The sequence below is a fragment of the Homo sapiens genome, chromosome 16, assembly GCF_000001405.40.
Source record: "Homo sapiens chromosome 16, GRCh38.p14 Primary Assembly".
Lineage (NCBI taxonomy): Eukaryota > Metazoa > Chordata > Mammalia > Primates > Hominidae > Homo > Homo sapiens.
The window spans coordinates 21,491,732-21,517,433 of record NC_000016.10 but is presented as its reverse complement, the minus strand read 5'-3'; the positions used below and the strand labels follow the sequence as shown (position 1 = coordinate 21,517,433).

The 25,702-nt window shown below is 50.5% G+C and overlaps 1 long non-coding RNA gene, 1 other non-coding gene and 1 pseudogene across 3 annotated transcripts in view, besides 16 other annotated features; 2 read left to right on the top strand and 1 right to left on the bottom strand.

Annotated features, from left to right (window-relative positions):
* Window positions 1,591–2,099: an enhancer, noted in NCBI's record as "H3K4me1 hESC enhancer chr16:21526656-21527164 (GRCh37/hg19 assembly coordinates)". NCBI's record gives its function as "activates a minimal SCP1, AML or CMV promoter by ChIP-STARR-seq in naive H9 embryonic stem cells {active_cell/tissue: H9 hESC(naive)}" and the evidence as "EXISTENCE:reporter gene assay evidence [ECO:0000049][PMID:30033119]".
* Window positions 3,321–3,410: an enhancer, noted in NCBI's record as "active region_10556". NCBI's record gives its function as "activates an Ori minimal core promoter by ATAC-STARR-seq in GM12878 lymphoblastoid cells {active_cell/tissue: GM12878}" and the evidence as "EXISTENCE:reporter gene assay evidence [ECO:0000049][PMID:35858748]".
* Window positions 4,325–5,160: an enhancer, noted in NCBI's record as "H3K27ac-H3K4me1 hESC enhancer chr16:21523595-21524430 (GRCh37/hg19 assembly coordinates)". NCBI's record gives its function as "activates a minimal SCP1, AML or CMV promoter by ChIP-STARR-seq in naive and primed H9 embryonic stem cells {active_cell/tissue: H9 hESC(naive and primed)}" and the evidence as "EXISTENCE:reporter gene assay evidence [ECO:0000049][PMID:30033119]".
* Window positions 5,161–5,997: an enhancer, noted in NCBI's record as "H3K27ac-H3K4me1 hESC enhancer chr16:21522758-21523594 (GRCh37/hg19 assembly coordinates)". NCBI's record gives its function as "activates a minimal SCP1, AML or CMV promoter by ChIP-STARR-seq in naive H9 embryonic stem cells {active_cell/tissue: H9 hESC(naive)}" and the evidence as "EXISTENCE:reporter gene assay evidence [ECO:0000049][PMID:30033119]".
* Window positions 5,541–5,620: an enhancer, noted in NCBI's record as "active region_10555". NCBI's record gives its function as "activates an Ori minimal core promoter by ATAC-STARR-seq in GM12878 lymphoblastoid cells {active_cell/tissue: GM12878}" and the evidence as "EXISTENCE:reporter gene assay evidence [ECO:0000049][PMID:35858748]".
* On the bottom strand, window positions 6,963–15,123 carry LOC124903662 (uncharacterized). The gene is made up of 2 exons (XR_007065024.1): window positions 14,917–15,123; window positions 6,963–8,231 (listed from the first exon to the last, which is right to left on the bottom strand). It is a non-coding gene; the product is annotated as an uncharacterized LOC124903662 (long non-coding RNA).
* Window positions 7,602–8,152: an enhancer, noted in NCBI's record as "H3K27ac-H3K4me1 hESC enhancer chr16:21520603-21521153 (GRCh37/hg19 assembly coordinates)". NCBI's record gives its function as "activates a minimal SCP1, AML or CMV promoter by ChIP-STARR-seq in naive and primed H9 embryonic stem cells {active_cell/tissue: H9 hESC(naive and primed)}" and the evidence as "EXISTENCE:reporter gene assay evidence [ECO:0000049][PMID:30033119]".
* Window positions 8,131–8,300: an enhancer, noted in NCBI's record as "experimental_43023 CRE fragment used in MPRA reporter constructs". NCBI's record gives its function as "activates a minimal promoter by MPRAs in K562 erythroleukemia cells, with activity observed for both the introgressed and non-introgressed 16:21520540 variant alleles {active_cell/tissue: K562}" and the evidence as "EXISTENCE:reporter gene assay evidence [ECO:0000049][PMID:34662402]".
* On the top strand, window positions 11,299–11,385 carry MIR3680-1 (microRNA 3680-1). The gene has a single exon (NR_037451.1). It is a non-coding gene; the product is annotated as a microRNA 3680-1 (primary transcript).
* Window positions 14,419–14,935: an enhancer, noted in NCBI's record as "H3K27ac-H3K4me1 hESC enhancer chr16:21513820-21514336 (GRCh37/hg19 assembly coordinates)". NCBI's record gives its function as "activates a minimal SCP1, AML or CMV promoter by ChIP-STARR-seq in naive H9 embryonic stem cells {active_cell/tissue: H9 hESC(naive)}" and the evidence as "EXISTENCE:reporter gene assay evidence [ECO:0000049][PMID:30033119]".
* Window positions 14,924–15,273: a silencer, noted in NCBI's record as "silent region_7255". NCBI's record gives its function as "represses an Ori minimal core promoter by ATAC-STARR-seq in GM12878 lymphoblastoid cells {active_cell/tissue: GM12878}" and the evidence as "EXISTENCE:reporter gene assay evidence [ECO:0000049][PMID:35858748]".
* Window positions 14,924–15,451: a biological region, named in NCBI's record as "H3K27ac-H3K4me1 hESC enhancer GRCh37_chr16:21513304-21513819".
* Window positions 14,936–15,451: an enhancer, noted in NCBI's record as "H3K27ac-H3K4me1 hESC enhancer chr16:21513304-21513819 (GRCh37/hg19 assembly coordinates)". NCBI's record gives its function as "activates a minimal SCP1, AML or CMV promoter by ChIP-STARR-seq in naive and primed H9 embryonic stem cells {active_cell/tissue: H9 hESC(naive and primed)}" and the evidence as "EXISTENCE:reporter gene assay evidence [ECO:0000049][PMID:30033119]".
* The window catches only part of SMG1P3 (SMG1 pseudogene 3), a 55,599-nt pseudogene continuing 45,049 nt past the window's right edge, over window positions 15,153–25,702 (top strand). The window contains exon 1 of the transcript NR_027155.2: window positions 15,153–15,657. The product of NR_027155.2 is annotated as an SMG1 pseudogene 3 (transcript). The remainder of the gene's footprint in view (window positions 15,658–25,702) is intronic.
* Window positions 15,294–15,343: a silencer, noted in NCBI's record as "silent region_7254". NCBI's record gives its function as "represses an Ori minimal core promoter by ATAC-STARR-seq in GM12878 lymphoblastoid cells {active_cell/tissue: GM12878}" and the evidence as "EXISTENCE:reporter gene assay evidence [ECO:0000049][PMID:35858748]".
* Window positions 15,452–15,968: an enhancer, noted in NCBI's record as "H3K27ac hESC enhancer chr16:21512787-21513303 (GRCh37/hg19 assembly coordinates)". NCBI's record gives its function as "activates a minimal SCP1, AML or CMV promoter by ChIP-STARR-seq in primed H9 embryonic stem cells {active_cell/tissue: H9 hESC(primed)}" and the evidence as "EXISTENCE:reporter gene assay evidence [ECO:0000049][PMID:30033119]".
* Window positions 15,454–15,503: a silencer, noted in NCBI's record as "silent region_7253". NCBI's record gives its function as "represses an Ori minimal core promoter by ATAC-STARR-seq in GM12878 lymphoblastoid cells {active_cell/tissue: GM12878}" and the evidence as "EXISTENCE:reporter gene assay evidence [ECO:0000049][PMID:35858748]".
* Window positions 15,594–15,903: a silencer, noted in NCBI's record as "silent region_7252". NCBI's record gives its function as "represses an Ori minimal core promoter by ATAC-STARR-seq in GM12878 lymphoblastoid cells {active_cell/tissue: GM12878}" and the evidence as "EXISTENCE:reporter gene assay evidence [ECO:0000049][PMID:35858748]".
* Window positions 25,023–25,524: an enhancer, noted in NCBI's record as "H3K4me1 hESC enhancer chr16:21503231-21503732 (GRCh37/hg19 assembly coordinates)". NCBI's record gives its function as "activates a minimal SCP1, AML or CMV promoter by ChIP-STARR-seq in primed H9 embryonic stem cells {active_cell/tissue: H9 hESC(primed)}" and the evidence as "EXISTENCE:reporter gene assay evidence [ECO:0000049][PMID:30033119]".

Below are 25,702 nucleotides of genomic sequence, written 5' to 3'. Positions count from 1 at the left end.
GTCTCAAAAAAAAAAAGCAAAAATCAGCTGGGCGTGACGGCGCACACCTGTAGTCCCAGCTACTCGGAGGCTGAGGCAGGAGAACTGCTTGAACTTGGGAGCCAAGATGGTGCCACTAAGCTCCTGCCTGGGTGACACATTTCTCCTCCTTTACCACCCCCCAGCCCCAGAGTTTCTGTGGCTGACAGTGTACGCTTCCAGAGCTGCTTCTGTTACAAATATATCGCTGGCCTATTTATTTAAAAGATCATAATGTACAACTTGTTCTCCACCTTTTTTTTAAGCCTAAAATGGTTTTGCCATGTTCCCAGGCAGTACGCAGAGGCTGCCCTCTTTAGCTGCTAAGAAGACTTCCCTGTGTCGGCAGGAACAAGTGTGCTCACCGCCCCCACCCCCCGACCCCCCGTAGACCCCTGTGGAGGGCATTTGGGGTTTCCCAGCTTTGTGCAAATGGGAAAAGGTTATGTGGTTTTTTGTTTTTTGTTTTTGTTTTTGTTTTGAGACAGAGTCTGTCTCTGTCGCCCAGGCTCGTTGCTCACTGCAACCTCTGCTTCCTGGTTTTAAGCAATTCTCCTGCCTCAACCTCCGGGAGCTTAGATTACAGGCATGTGCCTCAGCCTCCCAATTTGCTAGGATTACAGGCATGAGCCATCGCACCCGGCGGGGTGTGGATTCTAATGTAATAGCTAATGTGCCTTCCAAAGAGGCTGTACCAAGTCACACGTTCCTGGATTTATTTTGTGGTAATAGGGCTTTAAAAAGTATTTTTATTTATTTATTTTTATTTTATTTTATGTTTGAGATGGAGTTTTGCTCTTACCCAGGCTGGAGTACAATGGCGCGATCTCGGCTCACTACAACCTCCACCTCCCGGGTTCAAGTGACTCTCCTGCCTCAGCCTCCCAAGTAGCTGGGACTACAGGTGCCCACCATGCCCAGCTAATTTTTTGTATTTTTAGCAGAGACAGGACTTCACCATGTTGGCCAGGCTTGTCTTGAACTCCTGACCTCAGGTGATCCACCCGCCTCTGCCTCCCAAAGTGCTGGGATTACAGGCTTGAGCCACCGCACCCGGCCTAAAATAGCTTTCCAGCAGTCCTTTTGGTCCCAGTAGGTAAAGCCTCAAGGCAGGCTCTAGAGTGCCAACCCTTCTGACCCAGAGGTGAGGGTTAATGTTAATAGGATCCCTTTCAGCGAAAGTTAGGGCCACACTTCTCATGTCCCTAAGCCATTTGTACTTGTTTTTTTTCTCTGACCCACCTGTGTATGTGGTGAGTATGTGTGTATGTGTTGCTTTTTTTTTTTTTTTGGAAAGTGATTTTCAGTAACAGAAAGGGATGTGCTCTCTGCAAGAGTGAATCTATTCTTGCCCCTGTGTGTAAGGCGAGAAGGAGAAGTTGTGTTCTCTGAACAGGCAGACCCTGCTGAGAGAGGGAGGTGTGTTGGGGTTCAATCATTCTGGTGGGAAAGATATTAGAGGTAGTTATAGAAATAGACACAAATCTTGGAAGGCCGAGAAGTTGGCATAACTTTGGTAATTAGCTCTGGCTGAAGGCGGCCTGATCCCTTTACCTTTAGTTAAACAAATAAACATAGAAATAAAAGAAAGGCAGAGTAGTTTACCTAGCTAGCTTGTTTACTCATATAATCTTAAGACCCTGGGTGCTTAAATGCTTTTTACCCGGTAAGTCCACAATGTCTGTTACACTCTAATGGTGTTGACTCAAGCTTTTGTTAATTAATCATACTGAATAAATGCGCGTCTGACTAGCTGATCAGGGCCAAGTAGCAACTGTTTACAGGACTCAGCAGGGAGCCTATAAGCGGCTGGAACACTCAGCTGGACTGGCAGAGCAGAATATCTGTGTGTCTGTACTTTATTCATCTGTCACGGGGTCACGGGTCTGTAAGGGACAGACTCCCTGCAGCTGGTGCCCCCTTGAAAGGAGTGCTGTCGCAGAGGTGGGCTTGGCTGAGTCTGGTAGAACTCCAAGCTGATTCTCAGGTCGTTCTGACTTCAGCTCGGAGAAGGGCAGTGGATGTCCCAGGAAGGGAGACCCTGCCCTTGTAGGGGGACTTCTGACAGGTGCAGGGGGCAGCCTGGAGCCCGGACCAGTGGGCAGGATGGGCGCTCCAGGGTGTGAAGGAGAGGCTCGGCGTTTGATCTGTGGACATTGTTCCTGGAGCAGTGAAAAGCCATAGAAAGTGATTTATTTTATTTATTTATTTATTTATTTATTTATTTATTTATTTATTTTGAGATGGAATTTCGCTCTTTTTGCCCAGGCTGGAGTGCAATGGCACGATCTCGGCTCACTGCAACCTCTGCCTCCCGGGTTCAAGTGACTCTCCTGCCTCAGCCTCCCGAGTAGCTGGGATTACAGGCATGCACCACCATGCCTGGTTAATTTTGCATTTTTTAGTAGAGACAGGGTTTCTCCATGTTGGCCAGACTGGTCTCGAACTCCTGACCTCAGGTGATCCGCCCACCTCGGCCTCCCAAAGTGCTGGGATTACAGGCGTGAGCCAGTGTACCCAGCTGATTTTTTTTTTTTTTAAATGATCACACATAAGGTTGGGTTCCAGAATTTTCTGCTTAGGAAGGGAAAGGGCACCTTTTACCCCCTTAGTCCTTGAGCCTGATCCTACAGAAGGTACAGTGGCTTTCGGGTCTGGATCCTCAGCCCTCGGGCCTCTGAGGCTGCCTTGGGAGAGGGTACGGATTTGCGAACAAGGTTCTCAGTTTTGCTGGCTGTCTTTTCAGTCGCCCAGGCACGTCCCACAGAAAGTTTCTTTTTGTGAAATAATCGTGTGAAATGGGTTGGCCTCGGTGCTTAGAACCATCCCACTGACGGTGAGTGGAAAAAATCCCTTGCTTGTCAGTCTGGTTAGGAGATGAGGTCCTTTCACGCGTGTCTTCGTGTTGGTGCGCTTTTCACGGGTCATAAAGATGAGAGGAACCAGCTCCATGTGTCTCTTTCTGGATGGCCATATGGAACTTGGCATGACAGTAGGGTTGTGTGGGTTATTTATTGCTTGATGAAGACTTGGCAGCGTGTACTGGAAATTCAAGCAATGCTGGGTTTTATCAGAAGGCGCAAAGGCTGGAGTTGAGATTCTGGCTGGGCCTGGATTTGGTTTGGGCAGTTTATCTGACCTCCCTGGGCCCCAGCTGGCTCTGCATAGCAAGTAGGGTAGCATCTACTCAAAGTCCCGGCCACAGCCGTGGACTGGCACTGGCCCAGGCGAGCTCTCAGTAAGTGGGAACTCACAGGTTCAGAAGATGCTGTGGGCCTCAGGGGCTTCCACCTCCAGGGAGGTGCTCTCAGAAGAAGGGCCTGATGGGCTCACCACATCGTGGAGAAGATACCCCGGCTCAGTCTCAGTCAGTTCCCCAAGCGCATAGGTGTTCGGGAAGTGGCCTGCAGACAGCTCCTCCATGCCTTGAAAGCAGAAGTAGCCCCCTCCTGTTTCCCTGTCCCAGTTGGGTGAAGCATGGGAGCCTGCTGGGACAGTCCCAGGCGTGCCGTCACGCAGGGGCAGGCCGTCCATCGGTCTCGCGGGACTCTGGCTGCGGGTGGCTGAGGACACCTGGCCTCATGGGAGACGGTGCCAGGGTCCCTGGAGTGAGGTGGGTCTCCTCCCCATGGCTGTCACTCCTCAGCAGATTGGTGTGGGCGGGTGTGCGTTTAGGAACCTGTGAGCTGAGACATTGTCCAGCTAGCGTCAGGCCAAAAGCAACCAAGGCTTTGAGAAATCCACCTGGCCCTGCCGAGCCTGTTTCTGGCTGTGGAATGGGATTTGCCCCAGCGCCAGGTGTCTGGGAATCACAGGCCTCCGTGTGTGAAGGTGCCAGTTGCACGGGCTGTGACCGTCCCTCCACGTGCTTGTATCTCCTGCTCACTGTGCATGTTGAGCAGCCCTCAGCCTCACTGTCTTCTCCTTTGGCAAAAAGAAAGGAGCAAGGGAACAAAGAGAGGGAGGGAAGAGCCAGAGACAGGAGCCAGGGTTTCCTTTAGTCTGGAGCTCTGGGTGCAAGATGATGTCACCCACCCACACTCGGCACAGGCCCAGGGTCGGGGGGCTGTGGGTGGAAGTAGGAATCGCCACAACTGTCTCTGAGCCCCTCCCTAAAGGGTGAAGGGTGTAAGGGGTGGGTTTTGATGGCTGTGGGCTTAGCTGTGGTCAGTGGACTCAAAGGCCAGTTGGCCAGTTAGCAGTGACCAGAGAGCAGAGGGGGCCTGTGTGTGTTTTGCCCCAGGGTCTTCAGGCTGCCTGGCTGCCTCTATCCGCCCCCCTGGTGTGTCCAGCACCCCCCTGGGGTATCCAGCACCTGTAACCTGTAGCCCCGCTTCTCAGTCCAGGCCTGTTCCAGGGCCCCCCCGGGGTATCAAGCACCTGTAGCCTGTAGCCCCACTTCTCAGTCCAGGCCTGTGTAAAACCTGGCCCCGGGTTGGGTTTTGGGATCCCTGCACCCCTCCATCCCCAACCCCCCACAGCTGGGACCCTGGCTCAGCTAGCAAAGGTTCTGCGTGTTTAAGGAGCTGGGTGGGCCCCAGAGCTCAAGCCGTGGGCTCATTGCAGGCGGCAGCCAGTGATTAGTGCTGAAATCCGACTTTCCCAGCCAGACATGAAAGTGCCGCCAGCGCCTGGGCAGGTCACGCTGCATCACGGGATTCGGGGCAAGGCCCTAGGGCGAGTTCACAGAAGCACATGACCTGAGCCACACAGGAGAGCCTAACGGGCACTTCTGACCCTTTTTCCTTGGGTCACAGACCTCTTTCATAATCCAGCAGAATGTGCAGAATCTTGCCCAGGAATGTGTACCAGCCGCCTTCACACAGAAGGGTGGGCTGTGCAGACCCCCGAGGGCCCAGGCCAGGGTGAGAGCCACCCCCTGGAGAGGGGTGTCCAAGGTAGGGCACACGCTTGCACCACCTCTTGGCACCTCTTGGCCACCACTTTCCACTCCAGCCTTTGAAGCCAGTGATAATCCCCAATTTACAGCTGGGGAAACTGAGGCAGGAGCAAGCCAGGAGCCAGGGGCCACAGTGCCCACCTCTACACTGAGGCCACCGTTTGTCTTCAGGCATAGGGGAGCACACAGCCACGCCTGGGGAGTCTGGTGGGTGCCAGGGGTCTGGGGAGGTGTCAGCAAGACTGGGTGGCCCAGTCGGCCCAGGTAAGGACACAGGTGGGTCAGAGGCTCATCTGTGTTCCCCAGCAACCCCTAGGGGCTCTTCGCGCTCCTCCACCCTTCTCCATCCTTCCCAGACTCACATCCAGGTATCCTGGACAGCCACAGGGTTCTGCTCCCCAGTAGGCCTGGCCCTCCCTGGAGCATCACCTGGATGGCTGGCCATGGGCAGGCCTTGCCTGGCCCGTCTGCAGGGACAGGGCATGTGTATGCACGCAGATTGGTACTGTGTGCCCGCGCGCTCCCCAGAGGCCCTGTGGCAGCACCCCCTTCCTGCCGCTGCCCTTTTCCAACAGGAGGGCCCCCCCGCAGCGTCTCCTTCCCTGATTGTGGCCAAATCCTGAACTCTCCCTCTGGAAGGCGGACCCTCCGGGGTGGCCACAGCTCGTGCCCTCCGGGAGCGTGGGAGGCGTCTCTTTCTCTGCATCCCTGGCCGTCAGACCGCCCCAGGTGGGGACCATTCTCTGGCATTGCCCGCCCCTCCCCTGCCCTAGGATTTGCCCACTATGTGAGGAATGAGCACCAACCTCCTATTCCGGGCCTTGGAGCGTGACGCCCGCAAACTCGATCCCTGCTGAGTCATCCTGACCTCGGGGTGGGCCAGCATCTGTCACTGCTGAGACACTATATGTGTGAGCTGCTTGTTAACGAGAAAGCTAGACTCTGTAAAATATTTGAAGAGATTTATCCGGAGTTAAATGTGAGGACCAAGGCCTGGAGGCCCTGAGGACATGTGCCCCAGGGGGTGGGCCACAGCTGGAGTTCATACCTTGTACAAGGACAGAAGTTACAGGCAGACATCAGTCAGTATGTGAAAGGTATTTGTTGGTTCTGCCGAGAAAGGCGGGACAACTCCAAGGTGGGGATGGGCTTCCTGGTCACAAGTGGGTTCAAAGATTTCTTTATTCTTTATATATATATATATATATATTTTTTTTTTTTTTGAGATGCTTTTGTTACTCAGGCTGGAGTGCAGTGGCGTGATCTCAGTTCACTGCAACCTCCGCCTCCTGGGTTCAAGTGATTCTCCTGCCTTAGCTTCCCGAGTAGCTGGAACTACAGGCATGCACCACCATGCCCAGCTAATTTTGTGTTTTTAGTAGAGACAGGGGTTTCACCATGTTGGTCAGGCTGGTTTTGAACTCCTAATCTCAGGTGATCCGCCCACCTTGGCTTCCCAAAGTGCTGGGATTACAGGCATGGGCCACCGTGCCTGGCAAAAGATTTTCTGATTCACAATTGGTTGAAAGAGTTATTAGCTAAAGACCTGGAATCAATAGAAAGGAGTATCTGGGTAAGACAGGAGGTTGTGGAGACCAATATTGTGTTTTGTTTTGTTTTGTTTTTGTCACCCAGGCTGGAGTGCAGTGGCATGATCTCGGCTCACTGCAACCTGGTTCAAGCGATTCTCCTGCCTCAGCCTCCCAAGTAGCTGGGATTGCAGGTGCCTGCCACCACCATGCCTAGCTAATTTTGTATTTTTAGTAGAGATGGGGTTTCTCCATGTCGGTCGGCCTGGTCTCGAACTCCTGACCTCGTGATCTGCCCACCTCAGCCTCCCAAAGTGCTGAGATTACAGGCATGAGGCACTGAGCCAGGCCAAGATCTGTGTTTGAATGTTAGTGCTGGTCAGCTGTACCTGAATTCCAGAGGGAGGGGGTATAACAAGGCCTGTGTGACCCTTCTTCCCATCATGACCTGAGCTCGTTTTTCAGGTTAACTTTGGAATATCCCTTTGGCCAATAGGAGGGGTCCCTTCAGTCAGTTAGGGGGCTTAGAATTTTATTTTTGGTGTACGTGCTCAAACTGCAGCTGCTACAAAACCAAGGCCACGGTGACCCTGGGGCCAGTCCAGCTTTGTCCCTGTGCTCTCGAGCTGCTGGAGGCCAATGCAGGATTCTGCCCACAGCTCACATGTGTGGCTTCAGAGCCTGGGAGTTCTTGGGGCTGTGTCTTCACCTGGTACCGTGTAGGGGCCCTGTGAGCTGAGTCAACTGGAAGAGCCCAGAGCCTCTGCAGAAGGCCTGAGCAGGGCCCGGGCACTGTCCCTGGAGCTCTGAGTCCCTCAAGCTGTGTGGCCCGCAGCCAGGCGCTTGACTTCTCTGGCGTTTGCTTCAGAGCTGGGAGCCTGGGGTGGCGTAGGTCTTTGGCAGGGGTCAGGTAGGGGAGGGGCCAGCCAGGAATCAAACATCCCTGACAGGTGAGGGGGCAGGTGAGGAGGGCAGGGCAGGAGCCCCTGTAGCACTTGTGCAGCAGCATCTGGACCGGTGCAAGCCCTGAGATGGCTTCAGGTCCTGCTCAGAGCTAAGGGCTCCCTGTCACCAGGGATTCTTCCATCACTGCACCTGCAGAGCCCATTGGGATTGGGGAGAGGCCCTGGCCTTAGCTTGGAACAGCTGTATCCGCCTGTCGGGTGTGCAGGCTGTGCACTGGTTAAGCCTGAGCGCAGAGTCTGTTCAACGAGTTCATTGTGTGGTATTTGCTTCCGCTTGCTGTTGAGTTGGACTGGCCTGGATGCTGGCCAGGAGCCCAAGTGGACTTGGTGCTTCTCTTTGACAGCCAGGATTGAAAAGCCCAGTCAAGTGGGCAGAGCACGAGGGTGAGATTTAGGAGACCTGGATGTCCTCACTTTGCCGCCCAGGAACTGCTGTGTGACTTTCAGCAAGTGGGACAACCTTTCTGAACTATGTTTACACCAGCTATAAAATGGAGGTGTTGGATTGGCTGCCACAAGTGTCCTCCACCTCCACAATACCGTAACTGGAGCGGGTTTTCACTCCTTTTTCTTGTTAGCATAACTGTTGGAGCTATAGAGGGTTTGGAGTGGGGTGTGGGTTTCTGGGCCACAGATGTGTGAGGCTCCGCACTTAGCCAGCAGTGGCAACTCCTTATCACTGGTGCCCACGGCTTCATCTGTGCCCTGAAGATACTAATGCTGCGGTGACTGGTCAGATTAATGGTGATGCTTTCATGGGGCGCCGTAAGACATGTCCGCGAGGTATTTCACCCATACAATGGGAGGCAGTGTTCCAGTCTGTTGGAGACAGGAAAGGGAGGCTCAGTCCCTGCGAAGGAACTTTCCCGAGTTCACACAGCATTTCAGCACCGGGTGGCCTGGCTTCAGAGTTTCAGAGGGAGGGGTGGCCCTTCCTGTCGGTCCTGGGGGTCTCCTGGAGTCAGGACCCTTGGGAAACCCAAATCCACCAGGACGCTTGCATCAGGAGAACCTGACCACATGAGAAGCTGCCCTTTTCTGGTTCTCCTGCTTACCCTCGACTTGGGGTGTCGGCAAATTTCAGAGCTTGCCAAATCTGCATCTTCCTGGCCTGTTTAAAATGAATGTGTCAGCCCCATTCTGGACAGCAGCTGACACCTCTTCCCCCGTGCCAGCCAGGACAGTGTGGTTGGGCGTAACTCAGCCCCGGTTAAAAATGGAAAAAAGTACAAAGACATGTGTTCAAGGCCTGGTGACAGAATTTGAAAATGTGACACCAGCCTGTTAGTAATTTGTTTTCACAGAAACCTGATTCAACACTGAGCAGACAGGTGGGGCCAGGGCCTTGGGATCATCTCTGTGCTTGCCCAGGGACATCTGTATGTCTGGCCCAAAGCGGGGGCCTTGTGCTCTGCAGAGACTGGACATCAAAATTGAGCCATTATAAGCAGACCATCCTGGCCAGGCACGGTGGCTCACTCCGGTAATCCCAACACTTTGGGAGGCCAAGGTTGGTGGATCGCCTGAGGTCAGGAGTTCGAGACCAGCCCGGCCAACATGGTGAACCCTTGTCTCAACTAAAAATACAAAAATTAGGTGGGCGTGGTGGCAGGTGTCGGTAATCCCAGCTACTGAGGCAGGAGGCTGAGGCAGGAGGCAGGAGAATCACTTGATCCCCGGAGGCAGAGGCTGCAGCTACTCGGGAAGTAGAGGTGAGAGAATGGCTTGAACTCAGGAGGTGGAGGTTGCAGTGAGCCAAGATCGCACCATTGCACTCCAGCCTGGGCGACAAGAGGGAGACTTCGTCTCAAAAAAAAAAGGAAACACTGCCTTTGCTTCCCTGCCCTGGAACTGCTTCATTTTCCTTGGGGTTTCCGGACCATTTTGACCTCTCTCTGTGGCCAGCAATGGTGGGGAGGCGGGTGGATCTGGAGCCGGCATGGGCAGGCTCAGCATTCCAGCCCATTCTGGGGTGAGGTTGGCCTTGGGTGAGGACAGGGGTCACTGGGTCAGACATTCATTTTCTGGAGCCCAGGGCGGTGACGTGTCCATCAGGGAAGCACGCGCCTGTGCTGGGGGGTGCTCCCTGGACCAGCAGCGCCGGCCTCCCTGGGACCTTGTTCTGTGCAGATGTGTTGTCTCCCTCTCCCCCGACCTGCCTGATCAGAAGCTCTGGGTTTCCATCCCACTCCCCCACCACTGCTTTTACAAGTCCCCCCAGGGGATGACACGGGAGATGGTGGAGGCTGTCTATCAGTGGATAAGGTGGGGGCTGTCTATCAGTGGAGAAGGTGGGGGCTGTCTATCAGTGGAGAAGGTGGGGGCTGTCTGTCAGTGGAGATGGTGGGGGCTATCTGTCAGTGGAGATGGTGGGGGCTGTCTGTCGGTGGAGATGGTGGGGGCTGTCTGTCGGTGGAGATGGTGGGGGCTGTCTGTCGGTGGAGATGGTGGGGGCTGTCTGTCGGTGGAGAAGGTGGAAGCTTGTACTCAGAGCAGGGGATATTTAGACTTGAAGGGGCCAGGGAGGAAGGTACTGGTTCTACTAAGCCCCATGTTCACTGGGCAGCCACTAAGTTAGGGACCGTGTGTGTACCGAGTGGATTCCGACAAAGAAGCTGTCTCAGGAGCCCCAGCCAGCTGCAGAGGGGGGCCCAAGCTCCAAGGCTGGGTGTCAGGTTTGCCAGGTGCTGGCTCCGCTAGGGGCCGCAGGCTGCGCTGGGCGGGACTGGGCTGGGCTGGTACCTGTGCCCGGTGTCAGGCCAGCTGTAGTTGCAGCGGTCAGCTGCCGCTCTCTGGCCCTGTGCGAACTGCTGTGCCAGGTGCACCCTGGGGGACCAGGCTGCCTGGGCTTCCTGGAACTGGTGAAGCTGCCGCCACTTCCTCTATGCTCTCTCCAGCAGGCAATTCTGGGTAAACGATCTTCATTTGCCTATAAAGCTGCACAGCTCACAGGCCTTGGACCGTTTCTGCCCCAGCCCCAGCATTGGCCCTTTGGACAGACTCTGAAACCGTGCGCAGAACGCACCCTGTCATTACAAATGACTCCTGGAGGCAGTCCCCGGGGGCCTGGCAGGAGCACCTGTGTTTCTGTGGGGTCTGAAAATGACAGACCAATCGCTTGAACCCGGGAGGCGGAAGTTGCAGTGAGCCGAGATCGAGACATTGCCCTCCAGCCTGGGCAACAAGAGCAAAACTCCATCTCAAAAAAAAAAAAAAAAATCTTCACAAATATAATTTGTAATGGCTGCAGAAAATTTCAGCTCTGAATGTACTGCATCCTAATCAGTTTCCTATTGTTGAGCATTAGTATAGTTTCCAGGTGTTTTGTTTTTGTTTTGCTATTAATAAGTAAAACTGAGATGAATACTTCTGTATCAATCTTGATCCTTATTTTAGATAATTTCCATTTCATTCCTCCCATTTCTTGAGTGCTTCCTATGGTCAGGTGCTGTGCTGTGTGCTGAGTATGGAGGAGGTAGGCTGAGATAGATGTGACCTTTGCTCTTGCAAAGCTGATATACTAAGGGTTGGACAGATGCTAAATGTGCAAAGAAACCCAATACTTGCAGATGGTGCTGGGTACTACCAAGGAAAGAAATAGGGTATATGACAGAGTACCTGGAAAGGGCACTGGCCAGCTTTTATGGGCAGGGAGGTCAAAGCAAACCTGTCTGGAGATGAGACAGGCCAGGAAAATCAGGGCAGGGGCCAGAGTAGGGCAAATGTGGTGCCTAGAGCCTCATTTTTTTTTTTAGACGGATTCTCGCCCTGTTGCCCAGGCTGGAGTGCAATGGCAGGATCTCGGCCCACTGCAACCTCTGCCTCCCAGGTTCAAGCAATTCTCCTGCCCCAGCTTCCTGAGTAGCTGGGATTACAGTACAGCCTCAAATTTAAGGAGGGACTCACTCACAGGATTGTGCAAATGCAAAGTTGGCTTTTGCATGACCCTGGGAGTAGGTGCCTCCTTAAATTTTGCACCCTCAGCAACTCCATCACCTGTCACTTTGCTAGTCCCAACCCTGATGGGAACAAATGCAGGGAAGGCATTCCAGATGGCGGGAACAGCAAGTACAAAAATCCAGAGGCCAGAAAGGCCTGGTGTGTTTCAGGAACAGAAACTCGGCTCCCATGACTGAAATGGAGTAGGGAAATCCTAATGGAGCCAGAGAGGCAGAACCACCAACAGGAAGAAGAAAAAAATGTTGGAAGTTATGAGAGTTGCTCACGTTTGATTCATTTGATTTATTTTATTGAAATGGAGTCTCACTCTGTTGCCCAGGCTGGAGTGTAGTGGCACGATCTAGGCTCACTGCAACCTCCACCTCCTAGGCTTAAGTGATTCTCTCATCTCAGCCTCCCAAAGTGCTGGGATTACAGGCGTGAGCCACCATGCCCCACCTGAAGCAATTTCTTTGTTGTCTTTTTTTTTTTTAACTTCTCTCATAGAAATAATTAACCCTCAAAAACACTCAGTGTTGACAAAGGGTGGTGTGAGGACACAGAAAGTATCACACTATCATTGGCAGAAACTTCCTGGAAAGCAACTTAACAGTCTGTATCCAAAGACTTAAAATCATTAACAGCCTTTTCCCCAATAACTCCACTTCTCGGAATCTATCCTAAGGAAATCTGCCACAGCCAGAGTGATTTTTTCCGTCCCCTTAAGAAATGGTCTCATCCTGTTGCCCAGGCTGGAGTGCAGAGGCACCATTATGGCTCACCACAGCCTGAAACTCGTGGGCTCAAGCGATTCTCCCACCTCAGCCTCCCAAGTAATTGGGATCACAGGCATGCCTCCACATCCATATGCCTAGTTGGATAATATTTTGACCAATAAAGAAAAAGAGGGCCAGGCGCGGTGGCTCACGCCTGTAATCCCATCACTTTGGGAGGCCGAGGCGGGCGGATCACGAGGTCAGGAGATTGAGACCATCCTGGCTAACACGGTGAAACCCCGTCTCCACTAAAAATACAAAAAAACAAAATTAGCCGGGCTTGGTGGCGGGCGCCTGTAATCCCAGCTACTCGGGAGGCTGAGGCGGGAGAATGGCTTAAACCCGGGAGGCAGAGCTTGCAGTGAGCCGAGATTGCGCCACTGCACTCTAGCCTGGGCGACAGAGCGAGACTCCTTCTCAAAAAATAATAATAATAAAATAAAAAAATAAAAAAGAAAAAGAAAGGTAGTACCAGAGATTGTGTCCAGTTGCTCAAGCAATTTCTAACTTGTCTAATTTTAAAAATTTTTAAATTTTTATACAAAATTAGCCGGGCATGGTGGCATGTGTCTGTAATCTTAGCTACTTGGGAGGCTGAGGCAGGAGACTCACTTGAACCTGGAAGGCAGAGGTTGCAGTGAGCTGAAATCACACCATTGCACTCCAGCCTGGGCCACAAGAGTGAAACTCCGTCTGAAAAAAAAAATTTAATATTTTTTTTGTAGAGATGGGGGTCTCACTATGTTGCTCAGGCTGGCCTATAACTCCCAGGCTCAAGGATCTTCCAGTCTCAGCCTCCCATCACTGGAATTACAGGCATGAATCACTTCATCTAAATGATTTTTTTTTTTTTTTTTGAGACAGTCTTGCTCTGTCACCCAGGCCGGAGTTCAGTGGCACGATCTCGGCTCACTACAACCTCTGGCTCCTGGGTTCAAGCAATCCTCATGCCTCAGCTTCCCCAAATAGCTGGGACTACAGGCGTGCGCCACCATGCCTGGTTAATTTTTGTATTTTTTTGTAGAGACGGGGTTTCACCATATTTGTCAGGCTGGTCTCTTGACCTCAAGTGATCCACCCACCTCGGCCTCCCAAAGTGCTGGGATTACAGGAGTCAGCCATCCATGGTGCCCCGCGTTTTCTCTTTCTTCTTCTCCCTCCCTCCCTACCCTCCGCAGCCCAGCCTGGAGTGCAGTGGCAGGATCATAGGTCACTGCAGCCTCCACCCGCTGGACTCAAGTCATCCTCCTGCCTCACCCTCCTGAGTTCCTGGGACCACAGGCACGCGCTACCACGCCGGGTAATTTTTGTAATTTTTGTAGTCCCCATCATTTAGAACTGGCAAGATCCTCCCTTAGTGAGGGATTGGTGGCCATAAGCAAGGAGCCCAAGGTGGAGGGGATATGCATGTGTGTGGAGGTGTCAACTCCTCGTAATCTTCAAGTACTTTTGGTAACAATTTTTAATTGCACAAGCGATATATAAAGACGTTTTCTTTGCAACATAAAATGATAGGTTAAGACTCCTTATGCAGATAAGGTTTAGGCACTTGTTTAAGGAGCATCCTGGCCCACCTTTTAAAAAATGTGTATGCATTCACGTTATGCATCAGATGCTTTAGGGAATTTTTTTCCCTGGGGCATGGGGCATGTCATGGGGTAGACAGTCAGGTACGTCTCCTCTACCCAGCTGATTCTCTTTTTTTTTGGAGATGGAGTCTTGCTCTGTCGCCCAGGCTGGAGTGCAGTGGAGCGATCTCTGCTCACTGGGAGCTCCGCCTCCCGGGTTTACGCTATTCTCCTGCCTCAGCCTCCGGAGTAGCTGGGACTACAGGCGCCCGCCACCACGCCCGGCTAATTTTTTGTATTTTTAGTAGAGACGGGGTTTCACTGTGTTAGCCAGGATGGTCTCGATCTCCTGACCTCGAGATCTGCCCGCCTCGGCCTCCCAAAGTGCTGGGATTACAGGTGTGATCCACCGCGCCCGGCCTTCTCTCTTTCTTTTCTCCTTTTCTTTCCTTTCCTCCCTCCTTTCCTTCCTTCCTCCCTCCCTCCTTCCCTCCCTCCCTCGTTTCCTTCCTTCCTTCCTTTTTCTTCCCTCCCTGCTTTCTCTCTCTCTCTCTCTTATATTTTTTTGAGACAGAGTTTCACTCTTGTTCTCCAGGCTGGACTGCAATGGTCTGATCTTGGCTCACTGCAACCTCGGCCTATTGGGTTCAAGCGATTCCCCTGCCTCAGCCTCCCAAGTAGCTGGGATTACAGGCGCCCTCCACCATGCCCGGCTAATTTTTGTATTTTTAGTAGAGGCGGGGTTTCTCCATGTTGGCCAGGCTGGTCTGGAACTCCTCACCTCAGATGATCCGCCCACCTCGGCCTCCCAAAGTGCTGGGATTACAGGCGTGACCCACCGCGCCTAGCCCCCAGCTTCTTTCACCAGCAGAAGGCGGGCAAGCCTCAGGGTGAGAGGACTTCAAAGCACATTTCACATTGCAGAGGACAGGGTTTGGTGGTCGTGGGTACTCCCTTCCCTTCCATCGTTTAGTTTTTTTCATTGGGAAGAAATGGTAAAAGGTGCTAGGACTCGATGGGCACATTTCAGGTGGAGGTTGGGAAGGTGGATATCCACCTGTCGATCTGACTATTTTCACTTTCCACCCCGCCCCGTAGAAAGTGGGAAAACTGGCACACGTGAATCCAAGGGCGCGCCTGTGTGCGCGCGCACCCCAGGGCAACAGCCCGCCCCCCCCCCCCCCCCCCACCGCAGGTCCTTGATTGGACGCCTGTTTACACCTGACTGCCTGGCCCTCCGGTGCTTTCCGGGAAGCATTTGGGAGAAAAGTGTGTGGCCGCAGTAGTGGAGATCCCGTCTTAGGATTCGTCACCGCTACGCCCAGACCTCTTCGCCGTCCAAGAGCCTGGGGCCGTGGGGGGCGGGGCGGCCTGCTATCGGCCCCGCCCCGCCGACAGGACCCGCCTCTCTCCGCAGGCACGGCGGGGCCGACCCCGCCTCTCGCTCCCAGCATGCCGTGCGACAGCGGCGGCGCGGCGAGCGGAGCCGGGAGGCGGGGAAGCAGTGGCCGTGTGAGCGTGAGGAGCTGCCGCCACCGCCTGTTCCTCGTCGTCCTCCTCCTCGGGGGCCCCGGCGACGTGGGCCGCGCAGGGCCCTGGAAGAGACGTCGCCTCCCCTTCATCCGCCTCTCTCTCACCGCGCCGCTCCCGCCTCCTCGTCCTGTGCTGCGGGCTCAGGCGGAACCCGAAACGGTCGTCCTCTTCCCCCGCCCGCCGCCGCCTCCTCCTCCTCCTCCTTCTCGGCTTCCTTCTCAGCCCCGGGCCGGAGCGGGGTGTTGGCGGCGGCCGGTTCGGGTGGCGACTCGCGCTTCTCTGGGCGGCGGCGCTTGGCCATATCGTGTCGGGGAAGGTAATGAGCCGCAGAGCCCCGGGGTCTCGGCTGAGCGGCGGCGGCGGCGGCGGCGGCGGCGGCGGCACCAACGGCACCAACTATTCGCGGAGCTGGAATGACTGGCAACCCAGGTGGGTGACCGGCCCGGGACCCCGCCCCGACCTCCCGGGCTCCGCCTCGGGCGGGCGGAGGCCTAGGGCCGCGGGGCTGGGAGGCGCGGCCTAGGCCCTCCACCCCCGGGAGCCGGGCGCGGCTTCCTGGGTCTCCTCCGCCCCGGCTGGGGGAGGAAGGCCGCGGGGAGGCGAGGCCTAAGTGCCTCTCCCCTCCCTGCTTGTTCAGCCCGGGGCTGAAGCCGAGACCCGGGGCTCCCGGCGGTGGCACTGGCCTAGGGTCGGGACCAGGAGGTGAGAAAGAGGCGGGGGTGGGGGGGCGGGGGGCATTCCACTTACCGCTTCCCCCTGACCCCGAGTTGGGAGATTCTGAGAGTACAGGACCCTCCCTGTTACTCATTCACTTTCTCGGTTCCCCAGTCTTTCAGCCGCCACGTGAGAGCTCTTCTAACCTCTGTTCCTTTCTGTGACCCCCACGTGGTAATATTGAAAAAACCAAAACAAAACTCCAGCTAAGGCATTGCTCTGACTTTAGGCAGAACATTCATTAGTGGAGCGTGAGATGAGATTGTGTGACTGTTGATGGGATCGACCTACTCTGGTCTTGGGCGATGGAAGTTTTCCCTAAGTGCAAGGCCGGTTACTCTGGTGAATCGTAATTCATACCTGGACACTTGAGTGAACTCTGGGCACCCACTTAGAAGTCTAGAGAATTTCCTCTTTTATGGAGGATTTGATGTCAGACCGTTTTGGGGCTTAGTTAGATTTGAATATATTAGGAACATTAACTTTTTAAATAAATGTAATTTCCTGTCTTTTTGATCAATGGGGGGAGGGCAGCTGTGCCTAATTTAGGATTGATTTATTCTAACCTCTCTTACTAAATAAATGCTTGTATTCAGAGTCTGTTTGGAATTTAACCCAATGCTTAGAACTCCTTAAATATACAGAAATATATTTTAGGGGTAATTGATTCATGGAACTCTCCTACTTTGGAGCACAATTGTATTATAATTGTCCGGAAACTGGCCAGATAATGTAGAACGCACAAGTTGTTGAGAAGCCCTTTTGTTTCCTGATAGTTACATGTAATTCCAGCAGTATTTGGAAATAATTTGCTAAGATGTTAGAATGTAACATTTGAAGACTCGTTAGAAAAATCAATAAAATTATCTTTGGCTAATGGGTAGTACACATCTTAGTCTGTTTAATATGCCTTTCCAAAAAAAACTGTGTCTGTTGAGAATTGGTGTATATAACTAGATGACTTTAATAATTAGTGCCTGAGTCTAGAATTGAGATGTTTAGTCGTAAAAAAAAATATTGTTCGATAAACAGCGTTGACTTGTCTTGTACCACTTAAGAGTTTGTGAGTGCTTTAAATAAAATTAGTTGATTAAGTATTTTTTTTCCTATGATTGACATGCTTAGTTTTGCCTTTTTATTGAAATGTGTGAAATTTGATTTTCTGGCATCTAACAAATTAGGTGGTAAATGAATGACAATGGATTTTCTATTATTTTTCAGTATTGTGATCAGTATAAGTATATAAGAGAATTTAGTAACCTTTTAGAAGAATAAAGTGCCCTTCCCAAATAGTCCTACAGCTTTTGGAAAAGTGTAAATTGTAGTTTGTAGTTCTAAATAAATAGAGAAGAGTCGCAGCCACGTGCTAGGGCCAGCTGACTTCATTGCTGACAGGTATGAAGCCAAATGGCTTATGTAGTTATGGAATATGTACATGAGCTATTAATAAATATTATCCATGTTGTTTCTTTCAAGTGCTTTATTTCTTGGCTCTGGGGAGGGGCGATGGGGGAAGGGAGGAGCTTACAAGAAAGCTTGCAAGGTTTCTTTGAAGCTGTGCTTTTTGTAGGAAAGTTTCAGGATGTAACGCCTTGGTAGACGATACTGTGATACATTTGGTTACAGGCAATAACAGTTTGTTAGGATGTTGGAAAAATTTGATTTTCTCCTGTTGTAGAGGGAACAGGGAAGTGTGGACATACCCCATAGCATAACTTGATTTGTTGCTAAGATTGTCATAGCTGATTTGTTAGTCAATAAAAATACCTGGGGTGTTTGCCAAGTCATAAATTTTTATTAGTTAAATTTGAGGTGATTCTGTCCCCTATTCAGAAAGATGACAGACTCCAGGTAACTGACGGAACAGATCTTGATCTTGCTTCTTGCTTAAATGAAGGTTTAGAACATCTTCAGATGCAGGCACATTTATTATTGTTCATCTGAATAATTTTGGTGAAAATTTTTTTGCCTCTTATGTACCATTTTGTCCCTGGTGTTTTGGTTCTGTTTTCCTTGATGTAGGCTTTTTTTTTTTTTTTTTTTTTGTCTTCCTGAGATGGAGTCTTGCTCTGTCTCCCAGGCTGGAGTGCAGTGGTGTAATCTCGACTCACTGCAGCCCCTGCCTCCCGGTTACAGGGAAAAATTCTCCTGCCTCAGCCTCCTGAGTAGCTGGGATTACAGGCGTCCAGCTAATTTTTGTATTTTTAGTAGAGACGAGATTCCACCATGTTGGCCGGCCTGTTCTCGGACTCCTGACTCAGGTGATCCGCCTGCTTTGGCCTCCCAAAGTGCTGGGATTACAGGTGTAAGTCATCGCACTCAGCCGATTTAGGCTTTTGAAAAAGCAATACTTGTTGATTTCTTTTAGTGTTAGTTTGCCAGTTGGTGTGGAAAATGACTGTTGAGACAATTTTGACCACACATGATACTTCACACATACTGACAGGAAGTGTTCCAGGTGGCTGAATATGTGAATGTCATATGGCAAGAGAGCAAACCCGTGTTCCATAGAAGCATACCTCCAACAGTAAGCATTTATATGGCACTGGCTTATAGTCTTCCTTTTCATTCACTGTGCTCTCAGTCAACTCTTCTGTCAATTTTTTTGAGACGGTCTTGCTGTGTCACCCAGGCTGGAGTGCAGCGGCACAGATACTTGGCTTACTGCAGTCTCGACCTCCCAGGCTCAAGCCTCCTGCCTCAGCATCCACAAGTAGCTGGGGCTACAGGCGCTTGCCAACAGCCCGGCTCATTTTTGTATTTTTTGTAGAGATGGGGTTTTCACCACGTTGCCCAGGCTGGTCTTGAACCCCTGAACGCAAGCAATCTGCCCACCTTCAGCCTCCCAAAGTGTTGAGATTACAGGTGTGAGCCACTGCACCCGACATTTAAGAATGGTTAAGCAGGCCGGGGGCAGTGGCTCACGCCTGTAATCCCAGCACTTTGGGAGGCTGAGGTGGGTGGATCACCTGAGGTCAGGAGTTCGAGACCAGCCTGGCCAACCGACATGGTGAAACCCCCGTCTCTACTAAAAAAAAATAAATAAATAAATTAGCGGGATGTGGTGGTGCATGCCTGTAATCCCAGTTACTCGGGAGGCTGAGGCAGGAGAATCACTTGAACCTGAGAGGCAGAGGTTGTAGTGAGCGACATCACACCACTGCACTCCAGCCTGGGCAGCAGAGCAAGACTCCTTCTCAAAAAAAATAAAAAGTTAAAAAAAGAATGGTTAAACAAATGAGTGTTTTAGGTCAGTTGTATTATTTGAAATCTGTGGGTTCCTCAAGCGTAAAGTTGAGAAGGTTTTGGGAACCACTGGATGCCTCTGGTTTTTTTCATATGAAGAAACAGGGGTGGTGGCTTCTTAGAACAAAGGGATATCTGACCTATGGAGGTGGCCCTCTTTACTCCTCTTCCCTAAAAAAATGACCTATCATTGCCAATAGCTAAAGTCTGTCATTTTTTCCACCTTAGTTTGGAAGATAATCTTCTAGTATCAATCAAGACAGAGATCAGAATGATGTGTTTTAAAATTAAATGTGTAATTCATAATTGTACATTTTAATATTCTAAAGTGACATTGATTAATTTGACATTGGAGTCAAATAGATTGATTAATTCAACAAAGAAGAGAAGGCATTCAAGTCAACAGAAAACAAGTAGATTTTACTTCTCCACTCGGGGTATTAGGACATTAATTGTGTAATTGGTCTTACTTGTTTAGTAGTAGATCTATATTGAGTGTCTTACTGTGCCCAAACTTAGGATCTTTCTATATTTCTAAAAGGATGAAACTGTATAATAAAAACACCTTCCAATTTTGGTAGATTGTAGACAGATCAGAGTATTCAAAAGTACACACATCTTCTCTATTGTGAAAGACCAAAAAATGGAAATGTGTTGTGAAATTAGAAAAGCTGTATACTAGTATGTCTGATGTTGTGAGAAGCTGGATTTTTGAAACCAGAGTTGTCTATTCAGCCTTTTATCAGTCTGTACTAAGTTTGATGTCCATAGGTACATAATATAGGGAGATACATAAAGGATAAAATTAAGTGAAGTTACATATTTTATACCTATTAGGTAGGTGCAAAAGTAATTGCGGTTTTGGCAAAAACCGCAGTTACTTCCACACCAGTCTAATATTAAATGGAACTAGAGTCAAATAGAATTTAGCGATTGCCAGTTCTGTTCCACAGATTTCAAAGTACACTAAGGAAAATTTCAGCAAATTGTGTATGGCTGTTTTACTTGGGGGAGAGTAAAACAGCCATAATAAACTAAAAAATAAAAATTAAAACTAAAGGAACATTTGTTTTTATGTTTTTCTTTTCTTTTCTTTCCTCTTTTTTGAGATATGCTCTTGCTCTGTTGCCCAGGCTGGAGTGCAGTGGTGCAATCACTGCTCACTGCAGCCTTGACTTCCTGGGCTCTGGGAATCCTCCCGCCTTAGCCTCCTGAGTAGCTGGGACCACAGGTGCATACCACCACACCTGGCTAATTTATTTTTCCTCTCTCTCTCTCTTTTTTTTTTGAGACAGAGCTTTACTTTGTCGCCCAGGCTGGAGTATAGTGGCACAATCTCAGCTCACTTGCAACCTCCGCCTCCTGGTTCAAGTGATTCTCCTGTCTCAGCCTCCCAAGTAGCTGGGAATACAGGTGCATGCCACTATGCCCGGCTAATTTTTGTGTTTTTAGTGGAGATGGGATTTCACCATGTTGGCCAGGCTGGTCTTGAACTGCTGACCTCAGGTGATCCACCCGCTTCGGCCTCCCAAAGTGCTGGGATTACAGGCGTGAGCCACCACGCCTGGCTTCCTCTCTCTTTTTCTGAAACAGAGTCTCGCTCCATTGCCCAGGTTGGAGTGCAGTGGAACCATCTCAGCTCACTGCAGCCTCCACCTCCCAGGCTCAATAAGTCCTCCTACCTCACCCTCCCAATAGCTGGGACCACAGGTGCATGTTACCACCCCCAGCTACTTTATTTTTTTTTTGTTTTCTGTAGAGACGGGGTTTTGCCATGCTGCCTGGGCTGGTCTTGAATACCTAGGCTCAAGTGATCCTTCCTCCTTGGCCTCCCAAAGTGCCAGGATTACAGGTGTGACCCACCATGCTTGGCACGCTAATTTTTTATTTTTACTTTTTTGTAGAGATGGGGCCTCCCCATGTTGCCCATGCTGGTGTCAAACTCCTACTCCATTATGAAATAAGTCATTCCTTATGAAACACTTAGTAATTGTATCTTTAAGTTGAACCTTCCCCTCACCCCAACTTTTTTTTTTTTTTTTTTTTTTTTTTTTTTTTTGAGACAGAGTTTTGCTCTTGTTGTCCAGGCTGGAGCGCAATGGTGCAATCTCGGCTCACTGCATCCTCCGCCTCCCAGGTACAAGCTGTTTTCCTGTCTCAGCCTCCCAAGTAGATCAGATTACAGGCATGTGCCACCACACCCGGCTAATTTTTTTATATTTAGTAGAGATGGGGTTTCACCATGTTAGGCTGGTCGTGAACTCCTGACCTCAGGTGATCCACCTGCCTCGGCCTCCCAAAGTGCTGGGATTACAGGTGTGTGCCACTGCACCCCGCCTTTTTTTTTAAAGACATAGTTTCACTCTGTCTCCCAGGGTGGAGTGCAGTGGCACAATCTTGGCTCAGTACAACCTCCACCTCCTGGGTTCAAGTGATTCATGTGCCTCTGCCTCCCGAGTAGCTGGGACTACAGGCGCATGTCACCAGGCCCGTCTAATTTTTGTATTAGAGACAGGGTTTCGCCATGTTGGCCAGGCTGGTCTCGAACTCCTGACCTCGAGTTCCCACCTTGGCTTCTCAAAGTGCTGGGATTACAGAAGTGAGACACCGTGCCTGGACCCGCCAACCCATTTTGTTTTGATTCCTTTATAAATTAGTATAATGGAAGGTTTTTTTGTTTGTTTTTTATAACAGGTAATGAAATACTCTAATTCAGTAAATATTGATGCTTCTGGGGAGATGTGTGTGTGTGTGTGTGTGTATGTGTGTGTGTGTGTGTGTGTGTATGTATATAATAAATTTTTTTTTTTTTTTTTAGGATGGAGTGTCACTCTGTCGCCCAGGCTAGAGTGCAGTGGTGCAATCTCGGCTCACTGCCAGCTCCACCTCCTGGGTTCACGCCATTCTCCTGCCTCAGCCTCCCGAGTAGCTGGGATTGCAGGTGCCCGCCACCACGCCTGGCTAATTTTTTGTATTTTTAGTAGAGATAGGGTTTCACCGTGTTAGCCAGGATGGTCTCGATCTCCTGACCTCGTGATCCGCCCGCCTCGGCCTCCCAAAGTGCTGGGATTACAGGTGAGAGCCACTGTGCCCGGCGAAGCAGCGTCTCTTTTTAAGGTTGTAAGGTAGCTTGGGTTAGAAATAAAGGCAGAGAGCCACTCCATACCTGTAGTTCTAGCTACTGGGGAGGCTAAGACCAGAGGAATCTCTTGAGCCCAGGAGTTCAAGGCTGCAGTGAGCTGTAATCACACACTGCACTACAACGTGGGCAACATAGAGTGAGACCTAATAAATAAATAAATAAATAAATAAACAAATAAATGCAAGGAGAAAGTCAGGAACTTGGTGCATTTAGGTGTACAATTAGTTGGCATAAACAATTTTTTTTTTTGAGATGGAGTTTCTCTCTTGTTGCCCAGGCTGGAGTGCAGTGGGGCAGTCTCGGCTCACTGAAACCTCTGCCTCCTGGGTTCAAGTGATTCTCCTGCCTCAGCCTCCCGAGTAGCTGGGATTACAGGTGCCCGCCACCACGGCCAGCTAATTTTTGTATTTTTAACAGATGGGGTTTTGCCATATTGGCCAGGCTGACCTTGAACTCCTGACCTCAAGTGATCCGTCCACCTCAGCCTCCCAAAGTGCTGGGATTACAGGCGTGAGCCACTATGCCAGCCAAGAATTTTTAAAAAAGGAGTTTCATTCAGCCCACCTCATTCCTCTGCAGGGCACCTGTGTGCAGGGCAAAACTGCTCAACCCTACTCAGAAGCCCTGTGAAAGCTGCTGAAAGGATGAGCAGATTGAGGCCTGAACTGTATCTTGGATTTAGCAGCCTGGAGGTCATAATGGATTTTGCCAAGAGTGATGGGGCAGAAATTGGACCAGTGTGTGTTAAGGAGCTAGAAGAAGTGAAGAAATGGGAGAGGGGAATCTAGACAACTTTAGTTTGGCTGCAGCAAGTAAAGGCAGATTGTTTGATGGAGGGACATGTGGGATTGATGGAGTTTTTCCTTTTTATATGTTTTTGTATTTTTCAATGGAATACATTAGAAAGTGTTGCATGTTTATGGGGGGGATTTAGTTCAGTGGGAAAAGTATTTGAAAAGTTACAGTAAGGTGGAAGTAGATGGAATCCTCAGTAAGGTCTAGAATCGGGTACAGGTATTTTATGGTATCTTCCTCACCCCACCCCGAGACGGAGTTTCGCTCTTATTATTGCCCAGGCTCTGGAGTGCAGTGGTGCAGTCTTGGCTCACTGCAACCTCCACCTCCTGGGTTCAAGCGATTCTCCTGCCTCAGTCTCCCATGTAGCTGAGATTACAGGTGCGCACCACCACACCCAGCTAATTTTTGTATTTTTAGTAGAGATGAGGTTTCACCATTTTGGCCAGGCTGGTGTCCAACTCCTGACATCAAGTGATCCACCCGCCTTGGCCTCCCAAAGTGCGGGGATTACAGGCGTGAGCCACTGTGCCCAGCTGGTACCTTTTTTCTTGTTGGTGAAGTAGAATGTGTGTATGGGGAGGGGAGGTGATAGGATATTTTGGAATTTGAAGAGAATGGGAATGTCTGGATAGTGCATGTATAGAATGGGAAGTAAACACTGGAGGACCTGGGAGTGTGGTGCTTATTGATGGATCGTTGGGTTTATCCAGGATTGGGGTTTTGCCAGATGGGTGTGATGAGAATCTTAAGAGTTAAGGGTATAGGCAAGAGTGTTGTTGAAATGATACACAATGAAATCTAAGCTGGTTAAAGAAGTGAAGAAGGGGCCGGGCACGTTGGCTCACGCCTGTAATTCCAACACTTTGGGAGGCCGAGGCGGGTGGATCCCTTGAGGTCAGGAGTTCGAGACCAGCCTGGCCAACATGGTGAAACCCCGTCTCTACTAAAAATACAAAAATTAGCCGGGTGTGGTAGCAGGGGCCTGTAATCTCAGCTACTTGGGAGGCTGAGGCAGGAGAATCGCTTGAACCTGGAGGTGGAGGTTGCAGTGAGCCAGTATTGCACCACTATACTCCAGCCTGGGCAACAAAGTCAGAGTCTGTCTCAAAAAAAAAAAAAAAAAATGAAGTGAAGAAGGAGGAGAATACTTGGATTGGGATAAAGTAGAAAGAGTCACTGGATTAAAGTTAACTAAAAAACTCATAAACTTTAGAGTGGTATTGAGAAATTGTAGGGTGAACTGAAAAAGGCTCATGGGATTTTAGAGCCAAGAAGGCCTTGAGTGGCAGTTCCTACCTTAGTAGGAATAGCTTCAGTGGTGTGTTGCAGGTGGAACCCAGATTAAAGTGGGTTAAAAAGTAAATGAAGGCAAGGAAGATAAATTTTTCAACAGGTTTGTCTGTGAAGAGTCCAGGCTATTAGATTGATAGAGGGAGAAAGGCAGTTAAAGGGTTTTTTTGTTTTTTGTTTTTTTTGAGTCAGAGTCTCACACTGTTGCCCGGTCTGGAGTGCAATGGCGTGACCTCGGCTCACTGCAACCTCCGCCTCCGGGGTTCAAGTAGTTCTCCTGCCTCAGCCTCCCAACTAGCTGGGAATACAGGCGCCCACCACCACACCCGGCTAATTTTTTGTATTTTTAGTAGAGACGGGGTTTCACTATGTTGCCCAGGCTGGTCTCAAACTCCTGACCTCATGATCTGCCTGCCTCGCCCTCCCAAAGTGCTGGGATTACAGGCGTGAGCCACCGTGCCCGGCCTTATTTTCTTAATTTTTAAATTTATTTTATTATTATTATGATTATTTTTGAGATGGAGTCTCTCTGCCGCCCAGGCTGAAGCGCAATGGTGCAATCTCGGCTCACTGCAACCTCTGCCTCCCGGATTCGAGCGATTCTCCTGCCTCAGCCTCCTGAGTAGCTGGGATTGCAGGCGCCCGCCACCACGCCTGGCTGATATTTGTATATTTAGTAGAGACGGGGTTTCACTACATTGGGCAGGCTGGTCTTGAACTCCTGACCTCATGATCCACCCACCTTGGCCTCCCAAAGTGCTGGGATTACCAGCGTGAGCCACCGCACCCGGCCTTTAGTTTTTTTTTTTGAGACGGAGTCTCGCTCTGTCACCAGGCTGGAGTGTAGTGGCACGATCTTGGCTCACTGCAAGCTCTGCCTCCCGGGTTCAAATGATTCCCCTGCCTCAGCCTCCCAAGTAGCTGGGACTACAGGTGCGTGCCACCACGCACAGGTAATTTTATTTTTTCTATTTTAGTAGAGACGGGGTTTCACCGTGTTGGCCAGGGTGGTCTCAATCTCCTGACCTTATGATCTGCCTGCCTTCGCCTCCCAAAGTGCTGGGATTACAGGCATGAGCCACCGTGCCCGGCCATTTTTTGTTTTTGTTTTTGTTTTTTTTAAAGTAAGACTTTTGAGAGTGCTCATATGTTGATGATGTGATAAGCAGTAGTAAAATGGGAGATTTTGCAACGTACAAAAGAAACAGGCCGGGTGCAGTGGCTCAAGCCTGTAATCCCAGCACTTTGGGGAGGCCAAGGTGGGCGGATCACGAGGTCAGGAGA